Source organism: Homo sapiens, chromosome 16, assembly GCF_000001405.40.
Source record: "Homo sapiens chromosome 16, GRCh38.p14 Primary Assembly".
NCBI lineage: Eukaryota > Metazoa > Chordata > Mammalia > Primates > Hominidae > Homo > Homo sapiens.
In genome coordinates this window covers 60,045,899-60,054,178 of record NC_000016.10, presented here as the reverse complement: position 1 = coordinate 60,054,178, position 8,280 = coordinate 60,045,899, and the positions used below count along the sequence as shown (strand labels likewise).

Here is an 8,280-nt window from a genome sequence, read left to right as displayed (position 1 = left end):
TTTAAATATGGACTGTAGAGTACATAATAGCATTGTATCCACGTAAATTTTTCTAATTCTGACCACAGTACTGTGCATATGTAAGATACTATCTTTATTCTTAGGAATTACACTAGGAAGTATTTAGAGAAAAAAGGATATGATATTTACAACTTCTCAATTACTTCAAAAAATATGTGTGTGTAAAATTAGATCTGCAGCTTAGTTTTATATGTGTAACATTTATTTTACATATATATTCATACACAGAGCAATAAAAGCACTTGGTGAATCTGGATACAGCATTTACAGTTTTCCTGTAAGCTTCCAGTTACATCAAAATTTAAAAGTATAAAATTTAAAAGCATAAATTTAAAAGGCAATTGCTGAAACTGTTCAATTATAGCTATTGCTTTTGTTTGAAATTTTACTCTGCATATGCACACTTTAGGAATCATTCAATCATTTGGAAGGAGTTTCTTTTCATATTTTTATGATTCCCCCACTCATAGCTTCCTTATTTCTGGGATTACTACACCCCACACTCCACTTTCAATCTTGACACATGTAAAAATATCTATGCATTTAATGTGTATTATATAATGCTTTATGCTATGTATAAGCTTGTATGGGTTAATATGATTTTATTTCTAGATAAATACATTAGCTACTTTCAAAATTAAAAATAATGCAACAATGATGGATGCAATGTTTTCTTTTCATGTTTCATCATTCAGAGATGGACCATATTAAAATACATATATGTTTGATTATTAATCCATATATCAAATACTAGGAAGCTTTAATTCAATAACAATGACTCCAGTAATATATCACATCGTTTGTAGCTTGCCCTAATTCACTCTGGTATTAAGGGTGTACCTTTTATTCAATTTGTTGTTAACAGTATCCATTACACATTGGTCACATTTCCAAAAAGCATAAAATATGTAATTCAATAAGCTTTTACTGTCTAACAAGGCGTCATCATAGGTCAGATTTAACAACATTAATTTTAAGAAGGTCAAACTAAACAAAAATAGATGGCTGACAGAGCAGAGTATGAATCTTAATCTTGCTAACCAGGTGAACTTGCACGAGTCACTTAACTTCTCTGAGACTCATTTTCTGAATTTATAAACTAGAACTAACAGTGAGGTAAGAGAGAGATGGTGAAGAGGTTGAAGAGATAGGAGAAGAAAGAGAGGAAGAAAGGAAAGGGTAAAGCAGAGGGAGAGAGTTACAGAGAGAGCGGGGAGAGAGAATCTATCCACAATTTCAATGAGAAGGGAAAAGACAGAGAAGGTAGTGTAGTGAGAAGGTAAGCCAATGAGAAGACAAAGAGACTGGGAATGGCATAGAATAAAGTTAATCAGTGAAAAAGAGAGTATAAGACAGTAAAAGGCAGTATAAGAACGGGAATGTTAAGTGTTCTGTTTCAAGGGTATACATTATTGGAAAATAGAAATAAACCATTCCTCTACACTACTGTATTCCCAGAATCTTCAATATTCTGCAAATCATTTGTGTTAAATGGAATCAAGAAATTGAGAAATTCCCTATCCTGACTAATTAGGTTGGGATAAGAATGACTGTATATAGAAATACAAACCGTAAACATAGATAGCCTTGAGAATGCAGTTAACCCATTAAATTCCAGAAATATTGGTGGTTGATTTAAACTTCCATGGAACAGAGGACAGGGGTTGAAATAGGGATATGTAACTCTCAAGAGATCAGGAACACATACCTGTCATCTGGACCATATTGTGTTTAGAAAGAAAAAAGTATGCTGTAAACATTGTCTTAAAATAGTGGAATTCTACCATGCAAGAAAGAGAGTCATGTTATTTAATTTTTTCTTAATGTCTCTAGAAAGCATAATGTAGAATTTTTTTTACAAAGGTGACAAAGAGGCTAAGTTTAGTTCATTAAAATAAAGACTATTTTGACAGTTAATCATGTACAAAATTATTGGGATGTTGGGGACAAGCTGTTCCATAAATTGCTTAAACAGAACAAAAGGACCACTAGTTGCCATTACTGCAGAAAGGATTTAAGAGTGAGAGAGGAAAATGAAGTGGCAGATCTTTGGAGCTCCTTCTAAAAAGAAGTGTAGAAAAGAAACAAAACAAAGGAAAAACATTAGAAAAGGAACAAACCGTACCATTTAGTAATAACTGGTTCTGACTTGAATGCAATTTTTAAGAGAATAAATTAAGTCTAAATGACAGAGAAGGAGGGCAAGAATCTTGCCTTCAGAAAATTCTGAAAATAACAGACACTGGGAAGTAATGATGTAGGAGTATGGATATATAACATTTGAATCAGAGAAATGCTTATAGCCTAACAGTGCCCCCAGGGCTGATTTTATGGTATTAATATGAGTTTAAAGCCAATAAAGCAAAAAATATGCATCTGAGAGATGTGAGAAATGTAAGTGAAAGCTGTCATATATTTCTATAACGTGGGCAATGTAACAATTTGTACACATCTGGGAAGATATGCAATGTTTTATATATTTTCTATCACTCAACAATGATTTATTGTATACCAACTAGGTTTGGGGTCTTATAGTTGAAATGAGGAATTAGATATGGGATAGATTTTCAGAGTTGACTACAGATAGCCAATTAAGTACATAGTCATACCATTGTTTGGTGATAACAAATATATTTGGTCTTATCTGTAGATGCTAGAATCAATTCCTACCTTCCCTATTCACTTATAATTTGACCATTGTTTAACAGCATCCTTAAGTTCTCTTCTGGAGAAGTCAGAATATAATATAATATTTTCAAAATTGTCTTACTTATTTTGCTATTACTCAAGATTATAAATTTATATGGCTTTTCTACATCCTTTTGAGGTCTTGTTCCATAAAACTCTTATTTTAGTATCTTTCTGTCACTCTCCTTCATTCTCTTCTCTCACTTTCTCTTTTAGAAAATAACTAAAGAAATCTCTTTTATCTTTACAGATTTTCACATTCTTTTTCTTCTTTAGAGTGAAACACTCTGTTCTGCCTTCTTCCCCTTCTTAAATTGGTGAACATTTTCTAATCACTCAAACTTCAAATTAAAGAGCACTTTCTCAAGGTGGACTTTAATGGTACCTAGACTGTGGCATTCTTCTTTTCCTAGTGTTCAAACTAGACCAAACACTCATTGCACACTTCCTTGCAACTACTTGTTAAAGCTTGTCTTTCAGACAAGAATGTCAGTGAAGCCAGGATAGGTACTACTGTCTGTTCATTCACTGTGTCTTTGTTATGGTTCATTCACTGTATCTTTGTTACCATTGAGTATCATATAAAGAGCTCAATATTTATGCAAGAGGTGATAAATTATTGAATAAATAGATGGCTAGATTTGTGGATTAAAATATAAATTAATAAGTCTAAACCTACCAGGTACCAATAGTAATCTAGATAATATGGGAGTGACATATAGAATTAAATTGGATGTGGCCCCTTACCTTAAGATGATAAAAATTTCTATCAAGAGATGCATGTGTTAATGACTAAAATCAAGGCAGGAGAATAAAACACACGCTATTTCAAAAAGTATAAGCAAAGTACTGCTGGCAGTGCAAAGGAACGAGTGAGTCTAACTGGGAGCGTTAGACAAGGCATCACAGAAGGATGCCTTCAGTCTAAAAAAAGGATGAGTTCATGTCCTTTGCAGGGACATAGATGAAGCTGGAAACCATCATTCTCAGCAAATTAACACAGGAACAGAAAACCAAACACCGCATGTTCTCACTCATAAGTGGGAGTGAACAATAAGAACACATGGACACAGGGAGGGGAACATCACACACCCGGGCTTCAGTCTTTAAGAAATACTAGGAGACTGATAATTTTGGGGGCAGTGAAAATACTGTCCCAAGCTGTAGGAGCAGCACCAACAAAGGCTCAGAAGCTTGGTTAAAGATGAGTTAATCAGGACTGTTAGGTCTAAGCTTTGTATAAATACATTCCTATAAAGTAATTTAATCAGAAAAAAACAAGGGCATAGGGAAAAATAGGTAACTTTAGAAATTAAGCTAAAGAGTTTAGAATTTGTATCTGTAGGAAACAGAGAGCCATACAACATTTTGAGAAAAATAGAAGTTTTTTTTTAACGTAATAGGTCTGGCAGCAACATGGAGAGTTACCTATAGAGACTGAAAGTATCCAAATTAAATAGATCATTTAAAAAATAATAATGACAAGAGATGATGATAAATGTAATGCCATCACAAAAAACCAATCATATGAAGTTCATATGGCCTACTACACTCGAACCACCATCCTCAGTGTATTTGTATGCACATCTATTTAGATGTAATGCTGATAAGCCATTTACCAAAATTTATATCCTCAAACCAAATTTAAAAGGAAACACGTATTCAAACACAAATTAAAACAATGAGCTCATTATGAATATTTATCTGTAAAGTCAATCAATATTAAGTTTATACATGTGTCTATGGCTTATATATGAGGAGTCTCTATTGTATCAAAATTTGTCTTTAATCCTATAATGACTTGTTTTGAGATCAATAGCCAATAAACTGAAATAATGTGTTACATTGGTAGCTTGAAAATTTTCATGACATATATATTGACTTGGGAACTTATTTATTTAGCTTTTCATTGCGCGTGTTTTTTTAAGTTATTGCAGGGGTTGCGGGGGCGGGGGGAGGTGGATATTAAAAGAAGGTGATTGAAATGGCTGTATTTATTTTGAGGTCCTTGGATGTGTTTGTTTGTTTCATCCTGATTAAGCTGCAGCTTGTGTTAACCTTGGTGAATGCATATCTTTTTCCTGATTTAATTGCAATTGCCTGGAGCTTCAATCTGCATCTACCACTGTGACAGCTTATAAAACAACAACAAAACAAACCCAAACCCATGTTAGCTGGAAGGAGGAGGGAAAGTGAGAAGTGGGAGCTTTCCATTGTGAGCACGTTATATATTTGTTAACACAAATCTTTTCCTTTCCAGATGATATCTGTGTCCTCTTTCTCCCAATGTGTTTTTTTCAATCAGGTTTTCTAGGTGTTACCAACTGTGAAATGGAAGAATAACTTAATTTATATATAAAAACTTAAAACTACAAAAGATGCTTCATTTTAAGCTCTGATGCTTAAACACTTCAGTAACAAAATAATTATTTGGATTTTAACAGTTGCTTGTATGTATTCCTGGTATAGCCGGCTTCTTTGATACACAGTCTATACCTGTGCCCTGTAGAAACCTGTCCATGAGGATGGTACAGGAGTAGATAGGCAGAGAGGACATTTTTAACTGTGAGGTTCTTATATGAGGCTGGTGACACAGCCCAGTCAATGTGAGGAGTAAAACAGAAATACTGTGGAGAGAAGTCAAAGTGGAAATTTAGACAGAGAACCCTAGTTGCAATTACAAAGGATGAAAAAGTGCAGAAAGAATGAATGATAAACATCTAGGTTAAATACTGGGGAATACAGATGCAAAGCAAATTAGTTTTTACGGACTGTTCTCAAAGAATGGTCAAGAAAGATTGTTAACTTCAAGAGAGACCAGAATTTCCAACAAATTTGATGTTTTCCTAGCACATTGGGGTTCACCCCACATAGTCACATAGAAGAATTGCCAAAATTATGTTACTATTTTAGTAATTGCAAAAAATAATTGGGCCTTCCTGACCACCGCCCCCATCCTTCTGAAGTCCTCTCCTTCCTCGGCCTCTGAAAGAGTGCATTAGCCTTGATTCTTGTCTCCTCTCTTCTACTGGCTAATCTTCTCAGACCACCCATATTGAGGATCTCAAGAAGAGTATAACCAGCTGTCATATTGCCTTCTAGGTGCACTTGTGGCATCTCAGAATCAACATACCAATTGCTTGTTTTTTTGTTGTTGTTGTTGTTTGTTTGTTTGTTTTGCAAGATGGAGTCTTGCTCTGTCACCCAGGCTGGTGTGCAGTGAAGTGATCTCAGCTCACTGCAACCTCCGCCTCCTAGGTGCAAGCGATTCCCCTGCCTCAGCCTCCCTAGTAGCTGGGATTACAGGCATGCGCCACCATGCCCGCCTAATTTTTGTACTTTTAGTAGAGACGGGGTTTCACCAGGTCATCCAGGCTGCTCTCGAACTCCTGATTTAGTGATCTACCCGCCTCAGCCTCCCAAAGTGCTGGGATTACAGGTGAGAGCCACTGGGCCCGGCCTCAAATGCTCGTTTTCTTTATCTCCACACCAACTTCTTTTCTTGATCTCTGAAGCCATTTAATAGCATCTTTAGCACCCAGGATAGTATTCTCCTGATTACTGTTTGGCTCCTTCATCTTTCTTGCCAGCTGCATCCATGGTCCTCTTCTATCCCTGTGATTGAATTTCAATAACAGTACCATAAACAGAACAGCATTAAAGATAAGTGTTATACTGAGAAATAAAATAAAATCTAAAAGTTCCTATTATTTTCCCTTAGATGTAAATTTCTTATATCTGGGGAATTTCCTGTGTGGGATTTGAATTCTCTTGTTTAGACATATTCGTTTTAATTTGTTTACCTGTATGACAGATGTTCTTACAGATTTCCTTCCAAAAATATTTTGTTGTGCCTCTTTTAGTTGTGTGTATTTGTGTAGTTTCTGCGTGAAAAGCACATTTTTATCCCTCTTGAAATTTGTGTATTTTTCTCCTCACCTAAGTCAATTAGCTACCGCATAAGCAACTGTGAAGGAAAATGGGTGTAGAGCTCCTGATAGGGTCTTGGAGGCACATTAAGTGCTAGATAAGTGCTGTGGGTGGTGAATGTCACCAATGCTGTTGCTATTATGGTAGGTATGCTTTAAGAAAGAGTGATGTTGAGACCAGCCTGACCAACATGGTGAAACTCCGTCTCTACTAAAAATACAAAAAATTAGCCAGATGTGGTGGTGGGCGCCTGTAATCCCAGCTTCTCGGGAGGCTGAGGCAGGAGAATCGCTTGAACCCAGGAGGCAGAGGTTGCAGTGAGCCAAGATCCCACCACTGCACTCCAGCCTGGGCAACAAAAGCAATACTCCATCTCAAAAAAAAAAAAAAAAAAAGGAAAGAAAGAAAGAATGATGTCAATTAAAGGGGGTGGACCTGGGGAAATGATACTAGATGTAGGAATATAGATACCAGTAAGCATAATCACTGACAGTTGGACTTGCAATATAGAAGATGAATTATTATTATTATTACATAACAAAGTCAAGAGCTCATAAGATGAGGACATATGTGACCAAGCAAAATCTGTTTATGCATCGTTAATACCAATGGGACTCATTTCATCATGGTCCAATTATTGATGCAATAAACTGTGGGTCATTTAGAAAATAAATCTAAATTTATCTTAACTTAGTTTAAGAAGACAATGAAGCATGCATGTCATTTAGAAAGGTTTCTGTTAAACATTGTTAATATTTTAAGTTAAAAAGATGCATTTAACTGAAGCAATGTAGAAAATTGAGAGAAAAATTGCTACACAAATATTAATGTCCTAAGAGAATGTCACATCTGAGAAAAGAAAATACAAAACAAAGCCCTTTTACCAGAAGTTGGCAGCCTATATTTCTACCTGCTTTGCCTGACTGCTTGGTATGCAGGTACCAGGTCACGGATGCAAGATGTTGAGGACCATTATACAATGTAAATGTTTATAATATATCACAATTACGAACACACCTGTAGTAAATAACTTTGGGAGGTTCTGCAGCAAAGATGCTGAAAATGCTCAATAGAGAAAGCAAGAAATAAAACGCATTTTAAACCTACCACTGGATGGGATCCAATTTGAGTGTGTCTTAAGTTGAAATAGCTTCTTGCAGGGCTATGAAACAGAAGTTTGTGTTTAATGCATCCTGTGCTCCCCTTCTTCCCCATCACCTCCTTAGCTCTCAATATCAACCAGTCAGGTTGCTCGGGGACTGAATCTATTTCATTGCCTTGTCTTCTTTTCTAAGAAATGCCTTGTGTTTAGCTTTAAAGAAAAACAAATAAATTAGGTATTTACTCAAGAAGTCAAGCAACTATAATTAACAAGTCAAAAATTGTAATTATTGTAAAATCGAAGTCAATAATTTTAGTGAAGTTTTTCAGTATTAAACTGACATATTTATTATCACATCACAAATTAATGTATTTGCTTCTTTAGCTGTATGTTTTGCATCCAGTTTGTCTTAATGATATTCCAAAAAGAAACTTGATCCAAGATGGAACATTCTAACAGATCTGATGGTAGGCTTAACTATGCACTGGAGAAGATTCTCTGGAGACCAACATCATTGGAGATTTGGAATGCATTTTTTA

General features: G+C 35.3%; 1 long non-coding RNA gene across 1 annotated transcript in view; it reads right to left on the bottom strand.

Moving 5' to 3' along the window:
• Positions 1-205: 205 nt before the first annotated feature.
• LINC02141 (long intergenic non-protein coding RNA 2141) overlaps positions 206-8,280 on the bottom strand; it is a 198,621-nt gene continuing 190,546 nt past the window's right edge. The window contains exons 3-4 of the long non-coding RNA NR_110917.1: positions 7,747-7,951; positions 206-6,324 (exon numbers count right to left, since the gene is read on the bottom strand). This is a non-coding gene — a long non-coding RNA (long intergenic non-protein coding RNA 2141). The remainder of the gene's footprint in view (positions 6,325-7,746; positions 7,952-8,280) is intronic.